At 65.3% G+C, this 27,374-nt stretch overlaps 2 protein-coding genes across 29 annotated transcripts in view, besides 9 other annotated features; both read right to left on the bottom strand.

Annotated features, from left to right (window-relative positions):
- Positions 1–253: 253 nt before the first annotated feature.
- CRIP2 (cysteine rich protein 2) lies at positions 254–7,479 on the bottom strand. 8 transcript variants are annotated; one of them, NR_073084.1, is made up of 8 exons: positions 3,682–4,565; positions 2,064–2,158; positions 1,917–1,974; positions 1,553–1,693; positions 1,377–1,445; positions 1,205–1,299; positions 931–988; positions 254–838 (listed from the first exon to the last, which is right to left on the bottom strand). NR_073084.1 is itself a non-coding variant. In NM_001270837.2 (8 exons), exons 1-8 carry the CDS (start codon positions 7,174–7,176, stop codon positions 771–773), a joined length of 849 nt encoding a protein of 282 aa, NP_001257766.1. In that variant the 5' UTR covers positions 7,177–7,479; the 3' UTR covers positions 262–770. The 8 variants fall into 8 exon arrangements, 3 of the variants coding, with proteins under 3 accessions (NP_001257766.1, NP_001303.1, NP_001257770.1); NR_073082.2 differs by lacking the exon at positions 3,682–4,565 and adding an exon at positions 7,380–7,479 and having other exon boundaries at positions 262–838; NR_073085.2 differs by lacking the exon at positions 3,682–4,565 and adding an exon at positions 2,823–3,181 and having other exon boundaries at positions 262–838.
- Positions 5,581–5,690: a silencer, noted in NCBI's record as "silent region_6243". NCBI's record gives its function as "represses an Ori minimal core promoter by ATAC-STARR-seq in GM12878 lymphoblastoid cells {active_cell/tissue: GM12878}" and the evidence as "EXISTENCE:reporter gene assay evidence [ECO:0000049][PMID:35858748]".
- Positions 5,871–5,940: a silencer, noted in NCBI's record as "silent region_6242". NCBI's record gives its function as "represses an Ori minimal core promoter by ATAC-STARR-seq in GM12878 lymphoblastoid cells {active_cell/tissue: GM12878}" and the evidence as "EXISTENCE:reporter gene assay evidence [ECO:0000049][PMID:35858748]".
- Positions 6,211–6,360: a silencer, noted in NCBI's record as "silent region_6241". NCBI's record gives its function as "represses an Ori minimal core promoter by ATAC-STARR-seq in GM12878 lymphoblastoid cells {active_cell/tissue: GM12878}" and the evidence as "EXISTENCE:reporter gene assay evidence [ECO:0000049][PMID:35858748]".
- Positions 6,451–6,540: a silencer, noted in NCBI's record as "silent region_6240". NCBI's record gives its function as "represses an Ori minimal core promoter by ATAC-STARR-seq in GM12878 lymphoblastoid cells {active_cell/tissue: GM12878}" and the evidence as "EXISTENCE:reporter gene assay evidence [ECO:0000049][PMID:35858748]".
- Positions 6,551–6,600: a silencer, noted in NCBI's record as "silent region_6239". NCBI's record gives its function as "represses an Ori minimal core promoter by ATAC-STARR-seq in GM12878 lymphoblastoid cells {active_cell/tissue: GM12878}" and the evidence as "EXISTENCE:reporter gene assay evidence [ECO:0000049][PMID:35858748]".
- Positions 6,629–7,161: an enhancer, noted in NCBI's record as "H3K27ac-H3K4me1 hESC enhancer chr14:105939600-105940132 (GRCh37/hg19 assembly coordinates)". NCBI's record gives its function as "activates a minimal SCP1, AML or CMV promoter by ChIP-STARR-seq in naive H9 embryonic stem cells {active_cell/tissue: H9 hESC(naive)}" and the evidence as "EXISTENCE:reporter gene assay evidence [ECO:0000049][PMID:30033119]".
- Positions 8,717–9,580: an enhancer, noted in NCBI's record as "H3K27ac-H3K4me1 hESC enhancer chr14:105937181-105938044 (GRCh37/hg19 assembly coordinates)". NCBI's record gives its function as "activates a minimal SCP1, AML or CMV promoter by ChIP-STARR-seq in naive H9 embryonic stem cells {active_cell/tissue: H9 hESC(naive)}" and the evidence as "EXISTENCE:reporter gene assay evidence [ECO:0000049][PMID:30033119]".
- MTA1 (metastasis associated 1) overlaps positions 9,695–27,374 on the bottom strand; it is a 50,903-nt gene continuing 33,223 nt past the window's right edge. For 6 of the 21 annotated variants that reach the window (XM_047431904.1, XM_047431906.1, XM_011537305.1 and 3 more), the window contains 16 exons: positions 26,114–26,231; positions 22,052–22,154; positions 19,967–20,066; positions 19,471–19,659; positions 17,166–17,240; positions 16,873–16,931; positions 16,277–16,392; positions 15,857–16,008; positions 15,561–15,750; positions 15,241–15,330; positions 13,846–13,998; positions 13,682–13,717; positions 12,075–12,086; positions 10,926–10,957; positions 10,432–10,583; positions 9,695–10,359 (listed from right to left, as the gene is read on the bottom strand). In XM_047431904.1, coding sequence (XP_047287860.1) covers positions 10,209–10,359; positions 10,432–10,583; positions 10,926–10,957; positions 12,075–12,086; positions 13,682–13,717; positions 13,846–13,998; positions 15,241–15,330; positions 15,561–15,750; positions 15,857–16,008; positions 16,277–16,392; positions 16,873–16,931; positions 17,166–17,240; positions 19,471–19,659; positions 19,967–20,066; positions 22,052–22,154; positions 26,114–26,231 — 1,728 coding nt within the window. In that variant the 3' untranslated portion in view covers positions 9,695–10,208. Of the gene's footprint in view, positions 10,360–10,431; positions 10,584–10,925; positions 10,958–12,074; positions 12,087–13,681; positions 13,718–13,845; positions 13,999–15,240; positions 15,331–15,560; positions 15,751–15,856; positions 16,009–16,276; positions 16,393–16,872; positions 16,932–17,165; positions 17,241–19,470; positions 19,660–19,966; positions 20,067–22,051; positions 22,155–26,113; positions 26,232–27,374 lie in introns of those variants that run through there. The other 15 variants (NM_004689.4, NM_001411062.1, XM_011537306.1 and 12 more) reach the window with 4 other exon arrangements.
- Positions 15,126–15,647: an enhancer, noted in NCBI's record as "H3K27ac-H3K4me1 hESC enhancer chr14:105931114-105931635 (GRCh37/hg19 assembly coordinates)". NCBI's record gives its function as "activates a minimal SCP1, AML or CMV promoter by ChIP-STARR-seq in naive H9 embryonic stem cells {active_cell/tissue: H9 hESC(naive)}" and the evidence as "EXISTENCE:reporter gene assay evidence [ECO:0000049][PMID:30033119]".
- Positions 15,648–16,170: an enhancer, noted in NCBI's record as "H3K27ac-H3K4me1 hESC enhancer chr14:105930591-105931113 (GRCh37/hg19 assembly coordinates)". NCBI's record gives its function as "activates a minimal SCP1, AML or CMV promoter by ChIP-STARR-seq in naive H9 embryonic stem cells {active_cell/tissue: H9 hESC(naive)}" and the evidence as "EXISTENCE:reporter gene assay evidence [ECO:0000049][PMID:30033119]".

Genomic DNA, 27,374 nt, shown 5'->3' with positions numbered 1-27,374 from the left:
TTACCTCCCCACAGCCTGGCGTTCTTACTGCCTCCCCATCTGGGTGGGCACCACCACCCAAACCGGAGACCACGCTCCCCGCCCCCATCCCTCCCTCCTGCTCAGAAACATCCCAGGGCCCCACCTCCCACTATGACCCCCAGGAGAAGAGCCCACCCCCACTAGCAGCCAGGCCCAGGGGTGTTGGCTGGGAGCACGCATGGACCGGAGAAAGGGACCCTGGTCTGGGATTTGCATCCATCCCACAAGCAGAGACAATCCTGCAATCCTCAAACCGTTTATTGACAGCACAAGGCTCAACAGCAGGTGAGCCACGTGAGGGTGGCGAGCGCTTGCGAGGCAGTGTGGGCACCAGGCAGGGGATCCCGGAGGGAAGCCCTCTGCCAGGGACATGGTGAGGGCGTGGCCATCACCCACGAAGGGAGCATAAATAACACTGGCAGGTGGGTGGGCAGCAGGAGAGGGAGAGCGGACAGCGCCACGGGGACACGCAGGGTCGGCGGGAAAATGCTGGGACAGGGTCACACGGGGATTCGGACACGCAGACACAGAAGGGATCATGGGACGCCCAGAGGATGCCAGAGGGGGCAGACACACCAGAGACTCGGGGATGGGCATGGTGCTCTGCCCGTGGCTGCCCCTCCTCCAATACTCGCCCTGGGCTTGCAGGCAGGACTGGGCGGCTGAGCACTCTCCCAGCAGAGCCAAGCAGGGGGGCCCCTGCAGGGTCTGGGGCGCAGGTGAGCCCACATCATGAGAGCCGCTGTAGCCTAGGGCTGGACCTTGCCTTCGGGGTCCCGGTCATAGATGTAGCTGCCCACCGCACCGGTGTTCACTCCTGTGGAGGGAGGCCGCTGGGGTGGGTCGGGGGAACAGTGGAGGGAAGGGGAGGGCAGGGAAGACATCGTGGACCACCCTGGCTACACTCACCCTTGGGTCCGAAGAGGATTCCATAGCAGGGCTTGTGGCAGTAGGGCTGGCCGTCGTGCTGGGGCAGAAGGTGGGTGCTGAGGGAGGAGTCCACAGACTCCCCCGACCCATCACCTGGAGGCTTCCAGAACGTGCAGGCCGGCTCGCCGTGGGGGAGAGGGCAGCGCAGCTCCCAGAAGCACCACCCCCCATCCCCTCTAGGCGCGCCTCTCACCCTCATCCCCCCGACCCCGCGCCCCTGCCCGGCCCCCAAGCCCCGTTGCACTCCCCTCACCTCCGCGTGCCCGCCGGGGGTCAGTGTCTTCCCGCAGCGCTCGCAGCGCAGGCAGGGCCGGTGCCAATCCTTGCCCAGAGACGTCACCTTCTCAGCTGGAAAGGGGGAGGAGTGAGGCCGAGCCCCGGGGCGGGGGCGGGGGCGGGGGTCCGGGGCCCGGGCGCGCACTCACCGAAGTACACCTTCTTGCTGCAGCGCGGGCACGTGTTGGGCTCCCCGGTGAAAGTGGTGACACTGGAGGCTGTGGGGCGCACGAGTCAGGGCGGGGCGGGGCCGGGGGTGCCCACAACCCCCAGCCCCAGCCCGCGCGTGCCCACAACCCCCAGCCCCAGCCCGCGCCCAGCCCACCTCTGCTGGGCCCCTTCGGGGGGCCGCTCGCCTTCCGCTCCTCTGCTCGGGCCGCGGGGACCTCGATGGGGCCGGTGACCTGCGGCCCCTCCGCCAGGGGCTTCTCGTAGATGTAGGAGCCCGCGCCCCCGATGTTCACGCCTGCGGGTGGGGGTACGTGGGGCGGGGGTACGTGGGGTGGGGGCCGCGGCCACCGGGCATCTCAGAAAACGGCCCGCTGGGGACTGGGGGGCACTAGGCTTTCCAGGGTGGCAGGGACTCTGGGCGGGGATCCACGGCGGCCGGGACCCCCAGCCCTCCCCAGCGCCAGCGCCACGCCCCTCCCAGCAGGTCCCAGGGCAGGCCGAGGGCAGCCGGAGCTCACCTTTGGGTCCGAACAGGGTGGCGTAGCACGGCTTGTGGCAGAACGGCTTCCCGTCATGCTGCGCAGAGGGGCGCGGGTCAGGACCCTGCCTGAGGGTGGCGGGAGTCGCGACCCCCGCCCCCGCCCGCGCCGCGCAGTGGGGCTCACCTCGGCGTGGCCCCCGGGCGTCAGCGTCTTGCTGCAGCGCTCGCACTTGAGGCAGAACTTGTGCCAGTCCTTCCCCAGGGAGCTCACCTTCTCGGCTGAGCGGGAGGGGCGGCAGGGGGGTCAGGGCCGGGGCGCGCCCCGCACCCCCTCCGCCCCCACCTGGCAGCCACCACCCCCACGCGCTCCGGGGGTCCCCACTTTCAGGAGGTCTCCCAGGCGCCTTCCTTCCACCTGGCGGGCCCTGCCCCTCCTTCTGAGACCCGGAGGAGCCCGTCGCCCCCAGGCCCTGTTCTCCCTCTGGGTCTCAGCGCCCCCAGCCCTGGAACCCCGCTAGAGCCGCCTTTGAGAAGGGGCCCGGGGCTGCCCTGTTAGTCCCCTCAGTGCCTGCGGTGAAGGGGCCTGTGCTCGAGCCTGCCCGCGCTCCAACACCTGCCCGCGCTCCAACACCTGCCCGCGCTCCAACACCTGCCCGCGCTCCAACACCTGCCCGCGCTCCAACACCTGCCTCCCGGACACCCGCCTCACACCCGCCTCCCCCACACGCCCGCCTCCCCCCACAAATCTGCCTCCTCCCACACACCTTCCTCTCACACACACACCCGCCTCCCCCACACGCCCGCCTCCACACACCCGCTTCCCCCCACACACACCCGCTTCCTCAGACACACACCCGCTTCCCCCCACACACCTGCCTCCCCCCACACATATGCATCTCCCCCACCTGTCATTCCCTCAAACACTTCTCTTACACTCACACACCTGCCTCTGCAGTGCACCTGCTTCAACACATGCTGCTCTCCCTCTCACACCTGCCTCGCACTGACACGCCCCTGATCCCCACCAACTGGGCCCTGATGGGGCTGGCAGCACCCCGCTGCTGAGTCAAAGGTGCAGCCCCAGAACCTCCAGCTCCCTCATGGGAAGGCCAGGCCCCGTCCCCGTGGGTCCTCCAGGCGGGACCCTCATCTGTCTGTGGATTCCTCGTCCTAAACCCTGAGCTCTCCCCCCGCCGTAATGCCCCTGGCTGCCACTGGCATGGAAGATCTGAGGGCAGCTGCTGAGGGTCCGGGACCCTCTGCCACTGCCTCCCACCCCCACACTGGGGCTACTGGACTGCTTCCCAGTGGATGGAAGCAGGGGCCTCCCTAGGGAGCCAGGCAGGAAGAGGTGGGGAGGGGCAGGAAGGGCCCAGCAGAGCCGGAATTCTGAAGGGAAGGGGACAAGCTGCAGGCCCTGGGGGGAGGGAGCATGCAGGCTGGGCCCACCCTGCCCGGCAGAATCTGGCCAAGCCCCTCAGGTGGCCGAGGACCAGTGGCTCTCCCAGCTCCCTTTCTCAGCAAGTGGCCCAGCCCCCTTTGTCTGGCAGATATCGGGGAGGGGCATCTGGCTAGGGCGAAGCCCACTCTGAGAGGCCCAAGGGTGCTGCTCCTGGCAGTGAGATGGGATCCCCCAGGTGGCCTACTAGGTAGAGGGCTGTGAATACTGGCTCTCCGTGGCCCTGGTACAACCCTCTGGGCATGGCCAGGGCCAGCCTCCAGGACACCAGCCCAACCACAAGGCTGCACCAGCTTAGAGCCCTCTGACCAGAACCACTCCACTCAAGGAAGCTGGGACACACCAGGGCAGGCAGGGGCTGGCTGCACGGTGGGCAGGCGTGTCCCAGCAGCAGCAAGGAAGTCTCGGTGGCTATCGGCCGTGGCAGCTGCAGCCCAGGGCTGCCAGCACTGTGCTCTGGCCAGCTCTGGGACGTGGGCCAAGTGGGGGCAGGGAACTGGCCCTCAGACCCACTGGGTGGGTCAATGGCCACACATTACGGGTCCGAGTTGGGAACACAGAATCGATTGGGTCTAATGGCTCAGAAGAAAACCAGCTGCCCACCCTGGCTGCATGGGCTCTGGGGTGGCCTCCTCAATGTGCTCCGACATCCCAGCCTGGGTTCTACTCAGGTATGAGCTGCGGGGGCAGCCTGGTGTGAGGGTGGGCAGGATTCTGGACCCTCGCCCTCACAGTGCCTCCCAGGCAGGACAGAAGCCAGCCGGGTCTGAAGCGCCTTTGTTTTCCGCTGAGAGGCTGGGCGGGCCAGGCAGGCAGGCCTTTCCGGGCTGTCCACAGGACTGTTGGCCGAGACCCTGGAGAGCCCCAGGCTGGCCTGGCCCGGCCTGGGGTAAAGTCATGGGCAGTTGGACTGCAGAAGGGCCCTGGGGACCGTCTCCCACCCTAAGCCTTACAGAGACAGCCCTCGCTGGGACAGAGACTGAGGGCTGAGCGGGCTCCAGGAGAGGCAGCCGGAAGCCCCTCGGCTCCCAGCCACGCCAGAAGCACTCCAGGCCAAATCCGGTCCCTCCCCTCTGGGACGGGCAAAATACAACCTCCCCTCAACCCCCTCCAGCCTGTGAGCCGGGGAAGCCCAGTGGCGGCCTTCCCTGCAGCCTGGCCGCATTCTGGGTATGGGGCGACCAGGGCAGGCGCCCTGTTGGTCCCGGCCCTCCTCTCTGCTTCACTAAGTCTGCCCCCCTTCGTGCAGCAGCTGGTGGGTAGGTGGGCAGGGACCTTACCACCCTGGAGAAAGCTGGGCAGCGAATCAGCCAGGAGGAAGGGGGTAGGAAGGGCGCACCCAGGCCCAGAGAGTGAGTAAGCCCAGACGGGGGGAGCGCGCCTGCCGGAGGGGCTAGACCGAGGGCCGCCTTGCGAGACATCCCTCTTCCCGCCACCACCTGCATCCTGTCCAGGGCTGTTCTGACCTTGAGGAGGCAGGGATCCTGGACACCTGGGCTGCTTGAGCACAAGGTCCCTCTCACGTTCGCGGGAACTCGCGTGTCACACCCGCCCCCACCCTACCCCCGTGTGAAACTCCTGGGGGAACTGGCGCCAAGGGAATGCGTCGGGACAAGCAGGAGGCAGAGGCCAAGGTCGCCCCCGCTTGGACTGAATCCCGACAGAGTCCAAACCTGGCCCAGCCCAGCTCAGCGGAGCCCGGAGTGGGAGCTGGGGGTCACTGTTCCCGGCCACTTGTTCCCGGGGGAAGCGGGTGTAGGGGGTCCAGGAGAAAGGGCCCAGGCCCACGGGAGCGCGCGGGACGCACCCGGGGCGTACAGCCACGCCCTGCCCCGCCCCGCCCGGCGCCGTCCGAGGAACCGGGATGCGTCCGCGGATCCCCGAGCGCTCCCCCAAACACTGGCCTCATCCCGGGGCACCACAAGCCCCGCCCGGGTGGTCCCTGCCCCGCCCCCACAAGCCGCTTCGGGGTTCGGGCGTGACCGCCCCCGCTTTCGCGCAGCCCCACCCTTTGGCTTTAGCCGCTTGGGCAGCGCGGCCAGCCAGCCTCCGGGACGCGCATCCTCGGTCCGGGGCCGGGGCCGGGCGCACCCCGAGTTACGCCGCGGCTCTGCGGCGCGGGACTGGCCGCGAAGGGCGGCGGGATGCACCGAGCGGGCCGGGAGCGGGCACGCACTCACCGAAGTACACGGTCTTGTCGCACTTGGGGCATTTGGAGGCCATGGTCGGTGCGCCCGGTCGGCCCGCGCCCTCCGCCCGTTCTCCTCCGGGCCGCCGCCGCCCGCGCCCAGCCCCGCCTGCCCGGCTGTCCGCGCGCCCATTGGCTCCGCGGCCGGGGCGGGGCCTCGATAACCCGTCCCCCGGGCTGGGGGCCGCCTGGGGGCGCCGCGGGGGCGGGGCGCACCTGCCGGGGGTGGCGGGTGCGGGGCAGCCGGGCCAGGCCTGGCGCCCCCGGGCCCCTCGCGCCGGAGGTGGCGTCTACAGGGGCCCGCCCGGGCGACCGCGGCGCCGCCCGCGCCCCGGCTGTTTCCATGGCGACGTCGGGGCCGCCTGGCCGGGCCGTCCCCGGGGCGGCGGGCAGGGTGCGGGGAGCCTGGCCCTCGGCTCTCGGGGAGCCCTAGTGACTTGGGCCTAGGGGTCCAACACTCCCGGCCCTGGGCGCCCAGGCTGCGCTCCGCCGCGGGAAGGGGTCGCAGGCTCCGGGAGAACCCCACCCCCACCCCGCCGCGCGCGGCGCCTGTCCCGCTTCCCTTTGTTGCTCGGTTTCCATAGCAACAGCCGCGCCGCGGGAGCGGAGTCAGATTCCCGGCGGGCACGGCCCCCAGCCCTGTCCGGGTCTCCATGTCCCGCTCCGCCCCCGCCCGCGCCCCGCCCCAACACTGTCTGTGGTGCTGAAGGCTCCTTGGGTGGAGGGCAGGGCTCAGGAAGGAAGGCGCCGCCACCTCCAGAAACAGCTCGAGAAGCTGCTGGTAGGGGGTGTGGGGAGGTCTGCGTCTGCCTCCCAGGCAGGGAAGGGGCGGCGGGCACCAGCGCCGAGGGATCCGCGCTTAAGGCGTCCACCCCAAGCACTTCCACCCAGGGGGCGGCCGGGGAGGCGGTGAGGAGTTAGGAAGGGAAGGAGGGGAAGGAGTGGGCGTGCCCTCTGTGCCCCGGGCTGGGGCTGACACTCCAGTCCCTTCTCCCGCACCGCCCAGGACCAGCTGCGTGCCTGGGGGCCCAGGGCCTGACCTCGAGGGGTCAGGCGGGAGATTGAGGGGTCATGCCAGTCACCGCACCCCCACACCCCCACTCTGGCCTCCTCCCAACCAGGGCGTGCCTGACCACGCCTCACCACAGTGCCTCCGCCCTAGAGCCCCGTAGAGCCTGGCCCCAGGTGGGGAACCTCCGCACCCACGGGCTTCCTGGTGCTCTGTCCCCATGGGCCCTTCTCTGAGCCTTCTGGCCCCAGCTGAGCGTCGGCCTGGGAGACAGGCAGATCCCAGAAGCCCAGTGATCAGGCCCTATGGGGGCAGCTGACTCTGGACACCCTTCCCCCTGTGTCTTGGAGGCTGTGGGCTGGACACGGAGACCTACCTGTTCCCTCTGCCTGGTGCACCAGGCATGTTTGTGAGCCAACCAGAGGCCCTCGGTGCTCCTGGCTTTCATGGTGGTCCTGGCTGGGCTCTCTGTGGCAGCACCCTCCTCCCTTGCACACACACCCTGCAGCCACTGCCATTTCCATGGTGACAGCAGGCCAGAAACATGCCCCCCGCCCCCCCGCCCGACTGACCAGCCTGACCAGCTCCCCCTCTGCACTTGGGACCTGTGCCAGCCAAGGCAGAAGATGGTGAGGAGGCATCAGTCAGTACCTTTTCTGGGCAGCCCTTCCTCCCTGGCAGGCCCAGGGGTCCCTAGGGGTCCCTCACAGCAGGGCCTTGCCCAGGCTGGATTCATGGGCCCACTGCCAAACCCTCTCCAGCTCCCTGCCCTGTTCTGCCCAGCTTGGGAGCCTGGGGCTAAGCCATTACCCTCCCTGACTTTGCTACCTGTGGGGCTTGCTACCTGTGGGGCTTGCTCTGGAGGACAGGGCTGGCTGAACACAGGGCTCTTCTGGAGGGAGACCACCTGCCCCAAGGTCCCCAGCCCTGCCAGAAGAGTGGATGGGGGTAGAGGCAGGCCCCTCCCAGGGTGGCAGCAAAGGAATGGCATTCGGCACTGGCCAGGTGCCCTGGAGACACACGGAGGGTGGGGTGGGACAAGGAGTGTGCCAGCTGCTGCACTGCCCTCACCCCAGCCGCAGTCCCTGGGCAGCGGCCAGAAGCTCCCTAATGCGACGGGGCTATTCTGGGCCTGGCAGGCAGGGGTCAGGATCAATGGGTGCAGAGCAGTGGCCTTGGTCTCCACCTCTGAGGCTGCGGTGGGTCACAGGCAGGGGCAGTGACACAGTGGGACGGGCCCGAGTGGAGAGGGGGGCACAGGACACGGCGGGTGTGAAGGGAGCTGGCAGGGCTGATGGCTGGGCATGGGGCTGGGTCACACCCCTGGGCTGCAGTGGTCTGGTCCCTTCCGCCATCCTGTGACACTGGCAGATAGCAGGCCCCTGCTACTCAGCTCCACTGCAGGGAAGCCAGGCTGGGCTGAGTGGTGGACAGAGGACCCTAGCAGGGTGGAGCGGAGCTGGCAGGACAGGTCTCCAGGCATGACAGCATGATGGCCTTGCCACCCTGAGATGCCCCTGGCCCTGGGGAGCCGCGGCCCCTGTGGGGTTGCTGGTGCAGAAAGCAGGCTGCTGTCTCATCAGCAGGGAAGGGCCTAACGAGGACATAGCAAAGCTGGGAGACCCCTTCATGGCCTGGGCACCAAGGCCAATGCTCCCCCCAGCCGGTACCCACTCACTTCTAAGCCCAGGTTTAGACCCACAAGCAGCCCAGGCCCCACCCAGCACCGGTGGCCAGAGCTTGGCCCTGTGAGGGCACTGCAGCCTGGGTGTCTGGCCGGGGAGGGTGTCTGGGGTGGGAAAGGGCCCCACATCTCCTCAGGGCCTCCCTGCCCTTGGGATAGAGCCCAGGACCTAGGACACCTCACAGCCCACATGTTGACTCCAGAAAAGGACAGGCCCTGGGGGGTGGAAGAGCTGCTGAGGCCAGAACCCTGCAGCCAGCACTGGGAGGCAAGCCCGAGGCCTGGGGAAGGGAGACAAGGGAGCTGGGGTCTTCACTGAGCTCCAGACCCCCAGGGTTGGAAAAGGCCTCAGAGGGAGCTGTGTCCTTCATGAGGTCAGGGGCCTGATTTCCCAGCCGTCTGATGACGCACTACAGGCAAGTCCTCAGGCTGTGGGGTCACTCGGATGCTGGCTGCAGATTAGAGTTGGCTGGTGGGGGCTGGGGTTGGGTGGGGGGGCGCCACAGCCCAGGGAGGGTGGGTGGGACGTGCACTGCAGCCGAGTCCCTGACACCTAGTCCTGTCACTGCTGGGCCCCAGCACAGGCTCCCACGGAGGCCAGGACGCCCCCTTATCTTTGTCTCCTGGGAGACAGCAGAAGTGGTTTCTATTTTAATTCCGTGGCTGAGATTTCCACATGACAGGGCGCCTGGGTGGGCTGGGGGAGCAAAGGCACAGCTCTGGGGAGAGACAGAGGAGCTACTCTCCCTGAGCGAGGCCTGGGCGGACCCCTCCTGGCCGGCTGAGGTAGCACGGCCAGGGGGGTGGTCTGGAGCCAGGCTATCCACCGGACCCCTCCTTCTGGTGGCCCGGCCTGTACCTGTCCCCCGGCCTGCAAGTCCTGTCCCCGGCCGGAGGATGGGCCAAGCAGGATTTCTGAGAATGTGCTTGCAGAAATCTAAGCAGATTCTCACTGTGGAGACTGCACACCTGCTTGGGGGCCAGAGCTCTGGGCAGAAACCCTCAGGCGGCTGGGGCCAGGCTCTACATGGCCAGGAGGTTGGGCCTCTGGCTGGAGCACTCCAAGGCCTCGCTGGCCCAGCTGCACTGGCTGCCCTGGTGGGAAGCCACAGGGTCTTCGGCAGGGCCAGCTCTGCCTGCCGGGAGGCAGTCCCCGGCCCACCGCTGCCGCAGACACAGACGCACAGACGGTTTCAGCACAGCTCTGCTGGGGAAGGGGGTTGGGCCCTGCAACCGCTTGCTGCCCCCTGGGGAGGGCAGAGGGCACCGCGCCAGGCCCCAGCAGGGGAAGGTCTGTGGGCAGGTGGGAGAGCAACAGAGCCCAGAGGCTGGGGTGGCTGTCCTGGCTGAGGTGGCCTCCAGGGGCCTCCAGCTCCACGGCAGAGCCACAGCCTAGGGCCGCCCGATGGGGGTGGGGGGCCCAGGGCCTGAGTCAGGGAGAGGGACTGGGAACAAAAGACACAGGGAAGGACCGGTTGGTTTTTTTCCTTTTTATAAGATTTTTTTTCTTTGTTTTTGTTTAATATGAAAATTACTTGAAAAGACAAGGGCCAACCCCGCCAGGCAGCTCGGCCGGCCGCGGCCGCACGATCCTAACATTCCAGGTGTAAGTTACAGAGCTCAAGTTCATCTACAAAAAAAGTAATAAAAATAAAATTTAAAATGGCACCTTCAACAGAACACAACAAAACCTTAGGGCCCGGCCTCCGGGCAAAAGGCCCCGCAGCACAGGGGCACGGGGTGGCCCCTCATCTCCGCTCCAGCCAAAAAGTAAACACAAAGCTAAAAACGACAACTCCTCGGCATTCTCGGAATAAGTTAGCCGCGCTTCTTCCTCTCCTCCCCCAGTGTCCGCCAAGGAGCGCGTTTCTCTGCAGGTGAGGGCGGGAGGTGGGGCACTACCAAACTGAGGGGCGGGCGGCGGGCTGGCTGGGAAGGGGCCGTGTGGGCGGGCGAGGGGCGGGGGGCGGCCGCAGGTGGGGGCGGCCCCTAGTCCTCGATGACGATGGGCTCGTCGTTGACGGGCGCAGGTGGCGGTGGCCGCGGCGGCAGGGCCTGGCTCTGGCGCAGGGCGATGGGCTTGTAGGGCCGGCGGGCAGCACGCTTGGTTTCCGAGGATGAGAGCAGCTTGCGGATCTTCCTGTGGGCAGAGGTGGTGGTGAGGGCCGGGACGCTGTGCGGAGCCCTCCCGCCTGCCCTGGGAAGGCCCCACCTGGTCTCCTCTGTGGCCATGTAGAACACGTCATCCGGGGCGTCGATCCAGTTCATCCGCCGCCGCTTGACTGGGGGCAGGGAGCCCCCCCGGATCAGGCGCACTTTGGTGGGGTAGGACTTCCCGTTGAGCAGGAGGTTCCGGCTTGGTCCCTGCAGAGGGGGTGCACTTCCTGGGCAGCCAGCCAAGGGCCAGCTCCACCTCAACCTGCAGGGCTCCCGCTGGGAGGTGCTGTGCCTGGCCAACCCCCCACCACCCCAGTGAGTTACACGGACCCCCAGCCTGGCCCAGGGCAGCCCTGAGGGCTGGTCGGCCGCACACCGCTGGGCCTGGCACAGGGGCCATGGCCCCCACATGCTGCAGCCCCTCTGGTCTTGCCAGGCCTCCTGGAAGCTTCCACGTGGCACCTGGCAGGGCTGGCCAGGCCTCTTCCCAACACCCCAGAGAGCTCATGGGTGAGCGCACCGTACCCCATCATGGGTTGTTCCTCTTACCATGTGCCTGGCCTGTCCGTGGTTTGCCAGACCTGATGAGAAATGGAGGAGAGAAATGAGGCCCCGAGAGAGCGCGTCCTGCACTCCCACCGCCCACCACGGCCTCAGCCACCTTGGGACAATGGGCCGGGGCCATCTGCCAACCAAGCCACAGCCCACACCCAGGATGGGCCTGGGGGACGTGGGGCCTCGCATCCCCGGGTCCTGGGCCGCCTGGTGGCCCCACAGCTCTCTGGCCAGCAAGAGACACATTGGCTTGGGCTCCAGGCAGGAGGCCAGGAGCCTTGGACCCGACAGTCACCTCCCTGCACAGGGGCCGGGGCTGTCCACCCACTTGCCTGCCGTGCCGAGACAAGCAAAGCCTCGCAAGGCTGTCAGTCCAGCAGCGGCACAAGCCCCTCTGCAGGGCAGCCACGCTGTGGCCGGCACTGCCCCACCAGGAGGCCGGGCTTTTTCCTAAGGCTCTGAGAGAGCCGCCAGCCCCGGCCAGAAACAGGTCACCACCCACTGCCCTGGCTGGGCCCCAGCCACCCTGGCATGTGCTTGGGGATGGGGTGCCAGAGGCCTCTGACTTCCCACAGTGCAGGGTGAGGAGCCCAAGGGGCACTGCGGGAGTTGGGCCAAGAAGCGGGGTCCATGCTCCTGGTCACCCCCAGCTGGGCCCAGGACCGCCGCTGCCCTCCCCCACTCACTGCCCTTCCCCACTGCCCTGTGTGTAGGTGTGGGCGTGTGCATGTGGGAGCTGGTCCCAGGATGGCTCGGCTCCCAGCAGGACCAGCTCAGAGAGGACAGGATGTCATACTCAACTCAGTCAGGTGCCAGGGCCCAGGGGCATCGGAGCAACCTGCCAGCTCCAGAAACGCTGCTTAGCTGAGGCCCATCCCTTAAGGAACAGAAGCAGCCTGTCCAGCCCCTCCCCACCTGCAGTTGCCTCCTAACTTGGGGCACTCCCCTGGGGGCCAACTGGGGCCCTGGAGCCCTGGGTCAGCCTTTCCCTGCCAGTTTGCTTAGCTCTGCCGGGCAGGGTCAGGTGGGGGCCCAGGTGCCTGATCTGCGGCGCTCCCAAGCAGGAACAGCCATACCTCAGGGCACCTGCCACAAGCCAAGGCCCAGCGCCCAGGGCTGGCCAGTAGCACAAAAACTACTTACCCAGGTAAGTGCCTACCAGAGCGGTGGACAGCAGAGGGAAGAAACACATGCTTTAGGTTAGTGAGCCACACGCAGCCATCTGCAGGCCCCGCAGGTGGGGACAGCGCAACAGGCTGCACGGGCAAATGGCCGGGTTAGAGCGCTGGGGCCCCGTGCTGTGGGCAGGCAGGGCCCTCACTCGAGCTCAGCTCATGCCTACCCAGGCTGGACAGAGACCCCACCTCGTGTGCGCCAGTGCCCCCGGGAGCCGTCTTCACCCAGCTGGCCCCTCTCCAGCGCCCAGGTCCTGGCCGCTACACGTCAGGACAGGCGCTTCCTCTGTGGCTGACCCCTCTGAGCCCAGGGCCCCGCCCAGCCAGGCGGCAAGGGGTGATGCTCCCTCACAAGCACTGCATGGCTGGGACTCACGTGTGAGGTGTGGAAAATTCAGTGGGAACAAATAAGCTTTTATGTAACTTGCTGGTTAACCGCTTTTTACAAAACAAAACAAAAAGCTCGAAGATGCCTGCTGACAAGGACTCCCTCCTGTTTCTACCAGCTCTTATGGGGCTGTTCCTGGGACGCCCTGCCATTAGGAACAGACAAGTAAAGCCAGCCCAGAGTGGGCTGGCCCTGGGCCCAGGACTAGGCAATGGGGGCAGCCCCAATACCAGATGGCTGGGAGGGTGCCCCAGGAAAGGAGGGCTGGGGCTGGGGCCGAGACACAGACACCGCCAAGGGATGTCGGGAGGAAGCTGCAAGGACAGGCCAGGGGTGCGTGTCCAGACAGGTGGAGATGGGGGGCCCGGCACCCGATCTCAGGCCCACCCTGCGCTGCAGCCGGCGTGCTGACCCCACAGGACGTGCCTGCCAGGACACCCAGCAGCCTCGAGAGAATGCCCCAAGGGGACAGGGTTGGCTGGGCTGGGCAGCCACTACCCATATCCACCTCCAGGTCGCCAAACCGGCCCTGCTGCCCTGGCCAGCACCGTCAGTGAAAGCCGCCTGGCGAAGGGGCTCCAGGCACATCCACACTGGCAGGCCCAGCACTTGCACACCCGGGCCCCACACACCTGGCCTCCTCATGCTAGGCTTGGTCCTATCTGCTCTTCCCCAAGGGGCCTGGGGTCCCGCAGCCCCTGCTCCAAGCAACCGGCACAGAGCACCTGAGCCAGTCCTCCGACAGAAGGCACCCATGTGTACAAGCTCAGTTGCCCACGGCCCACACAGACACCCCCGACCACCCTCCCCACTGTCCCGCCTGGCAGGCGCACGGAAGGATTGCAGGCACAGCACGGGCGGCCCCACGAGCTGAGGCTGGCAGCATGCGGGCAGTCACAGCGCGATGGCAGACAGCGCAGGCAGGGGCGCCAGGGCCACACGTGCCAGGACAGTCCACTGACAGGAGGCGGGGCCAGGGGGCCGAGGGCCAGATGCCTGGGCTCGGGGGGTCTTCACCAAGGGACCAGTGATGTCGGGAGGAATGTGGGGAACTGGGCTGTGGCCTGGCTCACGTGGACTGCCCCAAGCATGGGCCCTGGGCCGCCCGCCGCGGGGACACAGAGCAGCACAGCACAGGCATCACGGGCGGGGCCGGCGCAGCGCCCGCCCGCGGCTCCAGGCCTTACCCCTACTGGGCATCAAGAGGCGCTTCTTCATGTTGCCTGGCAGCGCCGGGGTGGGAGAGAGGGAGAGAAGACAGCGTCAGCACGCACGGCGGGTGCCCGGGCGGGGACGGGCCGGACTCACCGGGCGGGGAGGGCCACACTCACCGGGCGGGGGGGCCACTCACCGTCCACCCCGTTGTGCTGCTCGTAGCTGCGCTTGCCCAGGATGGTGGGGGAGCCGTTGTTGATGACGGGGGCCACCTTGGCGGGCGTCAGGCTGCTGAGCACGCTGGACACGCTTTTCACGGGGTCAGGCTTGGGGGGGCGGGGGTGGGTCTCTGCCGGGAATGACACAGGCAGAACGAGTTGCCTCTGCCCAGCAGGGGAGGGGCAGGCAGGCCCAGGCTCCAGCCCTCATGGTTCCGGGATACCCCCAGGAACTAAGCCCCATGCGGCCCCCACCCGAGGCCCCATCCTGACTGGGCTGGAAGTGGGGAGGTCACCACAGAACCAGAAGCCCAGAAGCCCTCGGCAAGGCGTGTGCCCGGGCCAGTCCCGCACCCCAGGGCTTCCAGAGAGCAGGGAGACCACCTGGCGGGGGCCAGGCCCCTCAGCCCCGGGACAACAGGATCCATACACAGGCCCGTGAGCACAGCACGCCTATTAAACAGCCCCCACGTCCAGGCCCCCGGAGCTGCTGGTGGAGGGCTGGCTGCTCGTCAGACAGCGAACCAACCATCCAGCCAGCCTGGCCAGGGACACAGCTGCTGAGGACCAGCCCTGACACCAGCCACCTCTTCCCACAGGACAGGGGCCACAACCCCAAACAGGGAGCAATGCCAAAGCCACTTGAATCTCAGAGCACACTTGGCTCATGACTCTGGAATGTCCTTCTCAGGACAGTCACCCTGTGTCGGGAGGGCAGATGCACAAGCCCACTCGAGCCCAGCAAATGGAGGAGGCCCCCCACCGCCACCACAAATGTCTGGCCCAGCCACCAAGCTGCTTCCAGCTGGGCCAGGGTAGCCGGCTGAGGTTCTCGGGTGTCCTCAGATGCTCAAAGGCAAAGGAACCCCCTGCCGCCTGAGGCTGCTCCTCCCCCTGCCGAGGGCGTGCAGAGGCCTGAGTGCTGCCCCTGTGGAGTGGGCGTGGCTCAGGAAGTATACTCCCTGCAGGCAGCAGGTACGACGCTGCCTTAATGGTATTACAGGCAGGGGTGTGCACCACCTAAACCCCAGACCCTCAGGCCCCAGGGACGATCAGAACACAGGGAACAGGGTAGCGAGACTGGCAGGGAAGCCCCCGGGTGTGCCTTGAGGAGGCTGGCCCCGCAGAAGACAGGGCGGCCGCTACTCCGCACTGGGCCCCATCACGACCCCAGGAGCAGGGAGCAGCCTGGGTCCCAGTGGGTCTGCCTGAGCCTGGCACGGTGCAGAGTACCCCAAAAGGACAGTTCCAGGCCCTGGGGGGCTGTCCAGGAGCTCCCAGCTAGAGAAGGCTGGGAGCACCAGTGCATGAGCTTGGGTGAGAAGCTGCCTGCAGGCAGCATTGGGAGCCCCCCAGCACGCCTGGCTGCTCACCAAGATACCGAAGCACGGCTTCCAGCGGCTTGCGTACCGCCTGCTTCAGCACCAGCGGGCTCTGGGAGGCTTCGGGCAGCCGCGCCGTGCCTGCGGGGTACCACACGGTGTGAGGGGTGGGGCACCCCCAGGGGAGCACGGGACCCTGCCTGCGCCTTGACCTGGGAGCCCTCACTGGGCTCGGCCATGTCAGCACCGAGGAGGACGTGGGGCTCCCTGAGATCAGAACTCCCAGTGGGGCTACAGGCTGGGCCCCAAGGTTGCTGCTCTCTCCCCACCACCCGCAGGAACAGAGTAAGCGGGGCGTTGGGGTGACTCACACTCGGCCTTGATGGCCGCGCTGTTGATGGGCAGGTAGGGGTGCCGCGCAGCGTGCCACGGGCGCAGGATCTCACGGCACAGGCGCCGGGCGATCCGCGTCAGCTTCGTCGTGTGCAGATAGAAAGCCTGCCTGGTCTTCATGGCAAACTTGGGGCTCCCGCTGCTCCGGGCTGGGAGGCCGTGGGGACTCTGCGGAAGGGGGCGCAACCGCCCCAACACAGCGCCATGACCGGGGGCCGAGGACCCGCGTGGCCGACAGGCTCATGGCAGGCAGGGCGGGTGTCCCCCCCCTTACCATGTTACTGCGGTTTGGTCCTGGCCTCTCTCCATCTAACCGGGTTGGCATTTTCAAGCCACCATATTTCTTCCAATATGTCCAACAAGATGCGCAGAGACGACACTGCATGTTAGGGGGACCCCAAGAATACCACTGGTAAGACTGTGTGGCTACGGACAACAAAGTTGGAAATAGACGGATTCTTAAGCAGAACCAGCGATGTCAGAGTATTCCCCGCCACCCCCACGCCGGCCGCCCCCACCCGCCAGGCACCCCCACACGTTCCCCGAGGCTCTCCCAACCACACCCCTGGGACGCAGCCCCCATCGTCAGTGGGCCCCTTGCAGGCTGGGCCATGCTGGAGCCCTCAGGGCCAACGCAGGCACCACGGCCCACAGGCGGGCGTGCGGTGTGCCCCCGGCCATCCAGGGCACTTACTGTAACAGCTCTCGCAGGCCCGGCCAGCCCCAGGGCTCTGGCCCGGCGCCCCCGTGCCGTTCACCACACCGGCCTTGACGTTGTTGACGCTGATTTGGTTCGGATTTGGCTTGTTACTTAAAGAGGGAAAGGAGAGACGAGAGGAGTTGCAGGAGCACAAACCTCGAGGGCCCATGTGCCCAGCAGGCACCGCGGCTGACCACCCCTTGTCCAGAACCACGTCCTCGCACCCCTCGGCCTCGGCAGGGATCTTCCTTTCTCCCCTTTCAGTTCCTGGGAGCCACTGCTGAGGTCTGAGCCGTTCTCCAGGCCCCCGTGCTCCCCCTAGCATGGAGCCCAGCTCAGGGACTGAACCCTGGCGGTGTGGGCTGGAATCCCAATGCCCCCTTACTGACCAGGAGGCCAGGACGACAGAGACATGGCCACTGCGTCTGCAGCCAGAACCCCCCAGCCCTGGGCCGCCCTCCCGGGGGCTGCCCCAACTTTCCCAGCCTCTGAGCTTGAGTTTCCTTGGGACCCGCCTGGCCCCAGCACCCTGTGCCCACCCTCCCTGGCCCCCGGGGCCACGAGGACGACGGCTGTGAGGGCACACTTACTAGTTGGGAATATAAACTTGCTTTAACTTGCTCTCAGCTTCAGCTGCTTTCAAGCGTTTCTTAAAACAAAAGAGAAGGTCAGAGGTCAGCAGGCTAGGCCCAGGTTGGGGCTGCAGTGCAGACAGGCTGGAGGCTACGGAGAGGAGAGCACCACGGAGAGGACAGCCGGGCCAGGGACTCAGGAGTCTTCCTTCCCCTCCTGCTGCAGCAGTGCACGCCCACCTGCTGGGAGAGGATGGGGCGCAGGACGGGGAGGCGGCACACCCCGGGCACTGAGTGGCGGGCGGGCTCACCTGCTGCACGTATCTGTCGGTGGTCTTCCACATGTAGTAGTACTCAATGATGCTGGTCAGCGACTTCCACGGGAGCTGGGTGGGAGGAGGCGTGTCACACAAGCAGGAAGGGGCAGGAGGCAGGCACACCATGCAGGCAGGGGCAGGGCTGCGGCCAGAAGGCCACAGAGGGGGCGGGAGGCCAGAGGGCGAGGTGTGCTTGGTGCACGGAGGCCAGGCCCCTGCTGGCAGGCAGGTGCAGAGGGCAGCTGATGAAGCAGGTCCCCCCGCCAGATGCCAAAACACAGTGACGCCAGGGGAAGAGGAGCTGGCACAAGGTCAAGGTCGAGATCTTGCCGAGGTGGCACTGACAACCCAGCCTCCATCTCAGCCTTTTTTTTGTTTGTTTTTGAGACGGAGTCTCGCTCTGTCACCCAGGCTGGAGTGCAGTAGTACAATCTCGGCTCGCTGCAACCTCTGCCTCCCGGGTTCAAGCAATTCTCCTGCCTCTGTCTCCTGAGTAGCTGGGACTACAGGCACCTCTCAACACACCCGGCTAATTTTTGTATTTTTAGTACAGACGTGGTTTCACCATGTTGGCCAGGCCGGTCTCGAACTCCTGACCTCAAGTGGTCCACCCACTTCGGCCTCCCAAATGGGATTATAGGCATAAGCCACCATGCCCGGCCATCTCAGCCATTTTTGTTTTTGAGACAGAGTCTCGCACTGTCGCCCAGGCTGGAGTGCAGTGGTGCGATCTCGGCTCACAGCAACTTCCACCCCCGGGGGTTCAAGTGATTCTCCTGCCTCTGTCTCCCGAGTAGCTGGGACTACAGGAGCCTGCCACCATGCCCGACTAATTTTTGTATTTTTAGTAGACATGGCGTTTCACCATGTTGGCCAGGATGGTCTTGATCTCCTGACCTCATGATCCTCCTGCCTCGGCCTCCCAAAGTGCTAGGATTACAGGCATGAGCCACTGCGCCCGGGCTGTGGCATGGATTTAAGAAACCTGTCTTATTAAATAAGGGTTCAGATAGTTCCTCAGTCTGGTCCACTGCATCTGGCAGGAAGGAGAGCGGGGCCTGCTCCCTCGACACAGCCCCGAAGCTGCAGCCTCCCATCCCCGCACCTGGACAGGGCCCCGCAGCCGCAGCCCCCCGAGACCGTGCCTGGGCATGGCCCCGCAGCCGCAGTCCCCTGAGCGCTGCCTCGCTAGGCATCACGTGGGCTCAGCACTGGGGTCTCCTCCGCTGGAACCATGTGCAGCAGGGTCTCCCTCAAATTCCGCCCTGGTCTGAGCCTAGTTGGTGAATTTTGTTTCTAGCCCTCGTCCTCTTGTCTGAACATGTTCTGCTCATCTTGGTTTGTTTTTAAGCCTGGAGAGATCCGTATCCGCCTTGGAGAGGCCGCTGGCCCCAGGGACAGTCAGGGACTCCTCCCGCCCGGCCAAGCTCTCCCCTTGGCCAGAGGCCCCCACACAAAGCTGCACTCCTGCCCCCAGCAGATGCGTCCTCAGGAGCCTCACAGCTGGCTGCTGTCCCTCCTCCTCTTCAGGTCTAGGCACCCTACCCAACCCCATGTTTGTTTCTTCCGAATTCCAGATGCGTCTCCAGCCTCTGCTGCGCTGGCCTGTGCGCTGCTGCCCGGATGGTGCTTTCATCAGATACTAGCCACCCCGCTGTGTCCCGGCCCCTTTGGGGCTCCTCCCTGCCCTGCCACAGTCTCCACCTCCCCAGGGCTGATGGTTGGGGGCCCCACCACCCCCACATAGGGATGCTCTTCTAACAGATTAATTTAGAAGTATTTTAGGAGGGCTGACGGTTGGAGGGTGGGGGTCCTGAGGTGGAGGTACAGGGAAGGGAGACCCCACGCCATGAAGACTCTCTAGGCCTGCTGCTGGGCTAAACTCACGTGAGACAGAAAACAAGGACATGAGGAGTCAAGAGGTTCAGCTTAGTCAAAAACAAAGCAAAACCAAGCCTGGGGCTGGAGGGGGCAGCAAGGAAGGGAAAGTCTCCGTGAGGATACCCTGGCCTCCGTCACCTGGGCCAACCCTTATCCTCATCACGCAATGGTGGCAGGAGCATGGCTCTCTATGCCCAGGCCCCACCAGCGCCCCCATGCCTGTCTGCTGAACCAGTGTGACAGGAAGGACTATGGCGGCCGAGCGCAGCTGAGACAGAACTCATGCAGCTCCGCACAGGGAATCAGGGTGCAGGACAGGCTCCCTCAGGGCAGAGTGGGATGTGGAGCCCACACCCCCGCAGCCTACCTGGAGATGGGCATGGCCAGCCACTCCCCCATCGCCACCCACGGTACTCACAAAATCTTGCTGAATGTCCGTGAAATCCTTCCCATATTTTTCCAGGGCTTCCTCGAAAAGGTTGGCCTCTGATGCAGACCACTCCTCCATCTCGTCCCTGCAGAGCACGGGCCCGCCCTGCGGCACCAGCGCCGAGATGGCCTTGGAGATGTCGTAGATGTTCTTGTGGAGAGTATCCATGGCGTGGAACTGCGGCAGGAGACAGCAGGGTCACCCGGGCCAAGGTGGCTTTTCCTGCACCTGTGGCACGGTACCCCCTCCCTCAGTACCTCAAGGATCCCCTACTGCAGGCCCAGCAGCACAACCCTCCCTGCACCCTCAGCACAGTCTGGCCGAGTTTGGGGTGGATAGGAAAGGCCAGTCCAGGTGGGACAGCACCTCTGCAGGGGTCCTGAATACCTGGGGCAGGTGCTGGGCCCTGGTAGGAAGAAGGGCGCAGCCACTCTGGGCCATGGGCCACCCCAGGTCTCACCTGTCCCGCCCTGGGCCCACTTACCAGGGTGATGTCTCGGGAGGCAGCTGCGGCGCTCATGTGCAGGCTGGGCTGTCGGACGGAGCTGCTGCAGTCCAGGGCCCGTGCGAAGGTGCCCACAGAGCTGGGGAAAGGAGATGCGCTGACCACAGTGTCGGCCAAGCAGGGACTCCCCACAGGCACACCGCTCCCCAGGCGCCAGGGACCAGCGGCCACGGGCAGCACGGACTCCCCCAAGGCACACCACTCCCCAGGTGCCAGGGACCAGGGGCCATGGGCAGCACGGACTTCCCCCAGGCACACCACTCCCCAGGTGCCAGGGACCAGGGGCCATGGGCAGCACGGACTTCCCCCAGGCACACAGCTCCCCAGGTGCCAGGGACCAGGGGCCATGGGCAGCACGGACTTCCCCCACGCACACCGCTCCCCAGGTGCCAGGGACCAGGGGCCATGGGCAGCACGGACTTCCCCCAGGCACACAGCTCCCCAGGTGCCAGGGACCAGGGGCCATGGGCAGCACGGACTTCCCCCAGGCACACAGCTCCCCAGGCGCCAGGGACCAGGGGCCACGGGCAGCACGGACTCCCCCCAGGCACACAGCTCCCCAGGCGCCAGGGACCAGGGGCCATGGGCAGCACGGACTCCCCCCAGGCACACAGCTCCCCAGGGACCAGGGACCAGGGGCCACGGGCAGCACGGACTCCCCCCAGGCACACAGCTCCCCAGGGACCAGGGACCAGGGGCCATGGGCAGCACGGACTGCCCCCAGGCACACAGCTCCCCAGGCGCCAGGGACCAGGGGCCATGGGCAGCACGGACTCCCCCCAGGCACACAGCTCCCCAGGGACCAGGGACCAGGGGCCACGGGCAGCGCGGACTCCCCCCAGGCACACAGCTCCCCAGGTGCCAGGGACCAGGGGCCATGGGCAGCACGGACTGCCCCCAGGCACACAGCTCCCCAGGCGCCAGGGACCAGGGGCCACGGGCAGCACGGACTCCCCCCAGGCACACAGCTCCCCAGGGACCAGGGACCAGGGGCCATGGGCAGCACGGACTCCCCCCAGGCACACAGCTCCCCAGGCGCCAGGGACCAGGGGCCATGGGCAGCACGGACTCCCCCCAGGCACACAGCTCCCCAGGGACCAGGGACCAGGGGCCACGGGCAGCACGGACTCCCCCCAGGCACACAGCTCCCCAGGGACCAGGGACCAGGGGCCATGGGCAGCACGGACTGCCCCCAGGCACACAGCTCCCCAGGCGCCAGGGACCAGGGGCCATGGGCAGCACGGACTCCCCCCAGGCACACAGCTCCCTAGGGACCAGGGACCAGGGGCCACGGGCAGCGCGGACTCCCCCCAGGCACACAGCTCCCCAGGTGCCAGGGACCAGGGGCCATGGGCAGCACGGACTCCCCCCAGGCACACAGCTCCCCAGGGACCAGGGACCAGGGGCCACGGGCAGCGCGGACTCCCCCCAGGCACACAGCTCCCCAGGCGCCAGGGACCAGGGACAGACTGCATGAGCATCGCAGGGAGCAGCCCGCAGGTGGCGAGGACTCCTCGTGTCCTGGGCCCCAGGCTGCGGAGTAGGGCCCGGCACCCACCCCAGAACCCGTGTGCGTCTAACTGAGGGCATCCCGATAGATTGGCAGCCGCCTTGGGGCTTCTTTTGGGGTTTTCTCCACCTCCCAGGCTGCTGGCAGGGAAGGTGCATGGTCCTCTCCTGGGCCTCGGCCTTCGCCCTGCCCCAGGGGTCTGCCCGGGCTGCAGCTGCTCTGCTCCATGACCAGGCCCAGCCCACTTGCTCCCAGTGGCCCAGGAGTGGGAAAGCACCTCTGGCCCATCCTGGGAAAGCCCCATTAGGGACACATGGGCAGGCACACAGGCCTGCCCCCCAGAAGGGCCGCCCTTCTATTTAATGAAGGGCCTGGACCCAGCACTCCCGAGCCTCTCTGGGAACTGCTACCGGGGGTCTCAGGGCTGCAGCGCATGGGCTTCTTGTTGGGATATGGGATCCAAGACTGTCACGTCCCCAACACCCACCACAGGGAAGGGAGAACAGAAGCTCCAGGCACCACCCCTGCTGGCCTTGCCCAGGAGCAGGACTCACCGGGCCACCACCAGGAACTGGTCGATCTGCTTGTCTGTGAGTGGGTTGTGCGCCTCCCACACCTGGGTCTCCAACCTGGACTGGTCTCGGCCATCCTCCTCGCCTACAGGGAGGAAGTGTGGCCTTTCTGAGACGGGGTCCCACGGCGCGCCGGGCCGCGCCTCTCCTCCCCGGGTGCGGGGAGCTGCTGGGACGGGGAGGGGGAAGGGCTGCAGGGCCCCATAGGTGAGGCCAGGGTGCAAGGCTGGACGGAGGCTGTTGCACACACAGGCACACAGTGGCCTCTCAACCCGGGGCTGGGGTGCACACGCAAGGGGCCTCCCAGCCCACCCAGAATGCAGGGCTCCAAGAACTGTGGCCACAAGAGATGGGAAGGTTGGTTTGTAAATTTAAATCAAGCCTTTTTATTTATTTATTTATATTATTATTATTATTATTATTATTTTTTGAGACGGAGTCTCACTCTGTCGCCCAGGCTGGAATACAGTGGTACGATCTTGGCTCACTACAACCTCCGCCTCCCAGGTTCAAGCGATTCTCCTGCCTCAGCCTCCTGAGTAGCTGGGACCACAGGCACCGACACCATGCCCAGCTAATTTTTGTATTTTCAGTAGACACGGGGTTTCACCATGTTGCCCAGGCTGGTCTCGAACTCTTGACCTCAGGTGATCCATCCGCCTTAGCCTCCCAAAGTGTTGGGATCATAGGCGTGAGCCACCGTGCCCGGCCCAAGCTTTTTATTTTGAGATACTTGGGTTCACATGCTGTTGCAAGAGGGCCCTGCCACGTCACAGCAGCAGGCAGACCACCTCCAGGGACCTTCTGGGGGCACAGGCTCCCTCCTGGCCCCTCTTCCACCCCAGGGGGTTCTGGGGCAGCTGCGGCTAAGCCTGGCACAGCCAGAGCCGGGGGCCAGGGAGTGGGCGTGCCTCTGGAGTCACCAGTTGTTTCCTGTCTTCTGGGAGCTGGGACGATGGAGAACTCAAGGCTGGTGAAGAGGCCACCTGACGCCTGCAGTCGGCCAGGGCCAGGAGGGTTTCTGACGAAACAGCCTTTTACTCGCCAAAAAACAAGACCGTGGTGTTGGGAGACACCCTCAGGAGAATGTGTGTCTGAGCATGGCTGAGCCTGACTCCTGGGGGAGGACTTGGAGAAAGAGCTCCACAATTGTCCTCTGTCCACCTCTCAGCCGCCTCCATAGCTCAGTGCAGGGTGCCAGGCTCAGACTCTGCAAGCAGCTCCCCTCCAGCCCTGGGCAGCACCGAGGTTCCAGACCAAGGACCACGGAGTGCGGGGCTGCCCTCCACTGGGGCGCCCGGCTGCAGGTCCAGCATGGAGAGAGCTCTTGAGACTAGAAAGTCCCCAAGAAAATGCTATCCCTCGCTAAGGGGCACTGGCTCCCAGACCCTGCCCCAAGGGCCGGACATCCTGGGCCATGTGTCCAGGGAGGGTCAGGCCATGCGGCCTCTAGGAAACAATGCCTGGCCAGACTCAGAGGACGGGGTCAGCCAGGGACTGGGGCTGTGTGAACCAGCAAGGCGGGCTGGGGGGTCTTCAGCCTGGTGTGGACTCCTCACCTGGCTCAGGGGTACCCTGGGGAAGCTGGGGCCTAGCTCCCTGACGGCCAAGAAGCTGAGCCTTGGTGTGACCCACACAAGCCATGGTGCCTCCGTGTATGCGCACTGCTGGTCATGATGGTCGCACTCCCTTTGACATTTCAAACTCACTAAAGGCAGGTGCACAACTAGTGTGCAATTTTCCATCACTCAAGAGGGACACAGCCTCTCGGAGGTGGGGAAAGCTCTGGACGCCACGTCCCGGCCCCACACCAGCTGGTGGGATCCCTGGTCCTTGCACCAGCGGCCCAAAAGCCAAGGAACGGCAGGGCAGCGGGGAAGGCAGCGTGGGGAGAGGAGGCCGGCTCCTGCGGCTGGCTCGGCCTTGTGGACCCTTAGTCCCATCGCCCCAGACCCTGCAGAGCTCCGCCAGGTCTCTCCAGGTGTGCATGGTAAGATGGGGGCACCTCAAGGCCCATTCTCCTGACAGGCCCACTGGCCCCAGGCTGAAGGTACAGATGCGCCAGCTGAGGGCCTCTGACCTGAGACAGCTCCTCACTCTCTGGCCCTCATGTGATCTGTGTTCTCACCTGTCTCCCAGCCACGGACTCTGCCTTTCCACCTGGGTGCGGCTGCCAGGCCTTCACCTTTGGCCAGGCCAGAAAGGCAAGACAGCCCCAGGCTGGGAGACCCTGGCATGATAGCAGGGCACCCTGGAGGCCACAGGCCCAGACCCAGCACAGCGGCCTCCCCATGCTCAGACCCACAGGCCGGGCCCCAGCACAGTGGCCTCTCCACACTCAGACCCACAGGCCTCAGCACAGCGGCCTCTCCACACTCAGACCCACAGGCCTCAGCACAGTGACTTCCCCACACTTAGACCCACAGGCCGGGCTCCAGCACAGCGGCCTCCCCAGGCTCCGACCCACAGGCCTCAGCACAGAGGCCTCCTCCCCAGGCCCAGCCCTCAATGTGCCCTGTCTGCCTGGAGAGATGTGGGGGTCTTCCCCCACTGCCAAGCACCTCCCAGAGCACAGATGCTTGCAATGTAGCAGGCCCACGAGCCCAATGCTGGAGCCCACAGCTGCCTGGAGGAGGTGGCACACCCAGCCACCTGTGAGACGCACCAGCACCTTACGGACAATCAAGAAGAACACGAAACAGCACCAGCTACTCGGGAGGCTGAGGCTTGAGGATCGCTGGGGCCTAGGACTTCAAGTCCAGCCTGGGCGACACAGCAAGACCCGCTCTCAAAACAAACCAAAACAGGACAAGCACGAAACGCCTTGATCACAACTGCAAGCAGGGAGGCGAGTCCCCGCCCACCCTCGGGGGCAGAGCCCTGCGTCTCGAGGGCAGCCTCGCGGCCTTGCCCAGCGGGGAGATGAGGGACAGGGCTGAGAAGGGGACAGTGAGCCCCAGGACCTCCCACCAGGGCTACCGAAGCACCCGGTGGAGGGAGGAGGCTGCCAGCATCCGGGGTGAGCACTGCGTCGGAGCTCCACGGCCCCAGCAGGCCTCAAGGGTGGGGCACCCACAGGCAAGACAAGAAACGTGGGCAGATTCACACAGAAGAAAATTTCTGGAGGCAAAAAGAACTTTAAAAAATGAGGCCAGGTGCAGTGGCTCACACATGTAATCCCAGCAGTTTGGGAGGTCGAAGCAGGTAGATCACTTGAGTTCAGGGGTTTGAGACCAACCTGGGCAACATGGCGAAACCCTGTCTCTAATAAAAATACAAAAAAACTAGGGGGGTGTGGTGGTGCCCCTGTAGTTCCAGCTACTGAGGAGGCTGAGGTGGGAGGATCATCTGAGCCTGGGAGGTCGAGGCTGCAGTGAGCTGTGATTGCACCACTGCATTCCAGCCTGGGCGACAGAGCCAGACCTTGTCCAAAAAAAAGAAAAAGTAATGAAAAATAACTGCCAAGGCCAGACTCGGTGGCTCACGCCTGTAATCCCAGCACCTTGGGAGGCCTGAGGTCAAGAGTTCAAGACCAACGTGGCCAACACGGTGAAACCCCGTCTCTACTAAAAATAAAAAAATTAGCCGGGCGTGATGGCGGGCGCCTGTAATCCCAGCTACTCGGGAGGCTGAGGCAGGAGAATCGCTTGAACCTGGGAGGCGGAGGTTGCAGTGAGCCGAGATCACCCCACTGCACTCCAGCCTGGGCAACAGAGCGAGACTCCGTCTGAAAAAAAAGAAAAAGAAAAACAACTGCCAGAAGGAAACCAGGTGTCACTGTGCAAGGACAGCTGATCACCACGTCCTGCCTGAGGGTCTGAGGCTTCCCCAGAACCCCAACACCACCAGGAGTGGGTGGGGGAAGGCTCCGGGACACCAGCCTACACGCATCACCCATGTGGACAGAGCCCAGGCCTACACCTGCCGCCCCCAGTCACACATGAATCACTGACACGGCCATGTCCCAGCCTCCTCTCACCCAGTGTGTCACCCGGCAGGACAGGACAGGACAGAGGGCTCCATGCCCAGGGCGGCCCACCCTACCTTCTTTTAACAAGTCGGTGATGTCTGCCTGGTACCGGTTTCCTACTCGAATCTCTCCTTTATCTGCCAGCAGGGTCTTCTGCTGTGGGTCGTAGACTAGAGAATAGAAGAAGAAATCCTGGAAAACACCACAGGAGACAGAGAGGCGTCAGCACAGTCAGGCTGCTGGGAGGGTCAGAGAGGCGTCAGCACGGCCGGGCTGCTGGGAGGGTCTTGCCCAGAGCTCTTGTGGGGCGACATGGGCGCAGGAGGGAGGGAGGGCGCAGGAGCCCCCACAGCTCCCGGCCATGCCTGGGAGGAGCCTACAGCGGGGCCTCGAGGGTCACTGGGGGATGCACCTGCCCCATGACACTGCACGGAGGAGACATGCCGAGGGTCAGCAGAGGCAGGGCCAATGAGCAGCTGCAGGGGTGGGGCCAGGCTCCACAAGCCTTTACCAAGGCAGGGTGGATACGGCTACAGCCCAAAAACCATGACTTATTTGCCTTTTTATTTTTTTGAGGCAGAGTTTCGCTCTTGTCGCCCAGGTTGGAGTGCAATGGCGTGATCTCGGCTCACTGCAACCTCCGTTTCCCGGGTTCAAGCAATTCTCCTGCCTCAGCCTTCCAAGTAGCTGGGATTACAGGTGCCCACCACCACACCTAGCTAATATTTTGTATTTTCAGTAGAGACAGAGTTTCACCATGTTGGCCAGGCTGTTCTCAAACTCCTGAGCTCAGGTGATCCACCCGCCTCGGCCTCCCAAAGTGCTGGAATTACTGGCGTCAGCCACTGCGCCCAGCAGACTTATTTTCCTTTTTCGAAACATGGTCTCGCTCCGTCGCCCAGGCTGGAGTGCAGCAGTGCAATCACAGCTCACTGTGGCCTCCGCCTCCTGGGTTCAAGTGATCCTCCCACCTCAGCCTCCAAGTAGTTGAGACTACAGGCGTGTGCTATGCCCGGCTACAAAGCCATCCCTATCAGCAGCAGCAATGTGAAGATGTAACTTATCCAAGGTGTTTAAGAGCAACAGAAATCAGGAGTTCTGGGCACAACCTTGGAGGAGCGGCCACCGCTGGAGCGCTACGGAGCATTCCAGGCTCAGCACCGCCGGCCGCCACCCGCGCAGCAGGCGCGGCCCTTCCCGCCAGCATTCCATCTCAGGCAACCTCACACCAGGGCCCCCAGGCTGCCTCTGGGATGGCATTTCCAGGACATGGCCTTTGCCAACCTTTTGCTGTCCGGCATTGTGTGTCCTGCACTGGGCTGGTTCTGATGATTT

The sequence above is a fragment of the Homo sapiens genome, chromosome 14 (genome assembly GCF_000001405.40).
Source record: "Homo sapiens chromosome 14, GRCh38.p14 Primary Assembly".
Classification (NCBI taxonomy): Eukaryota; Metazoa; Chordata; class Mammalia; order Primates; family Hominidae; genus Homo; species Homo sapiens.
The sequence above is the reverse complement of the archived record's forward strand: the minus strand, read 5'-3'. Positions and strand labels throughout refer to the sequence as shown.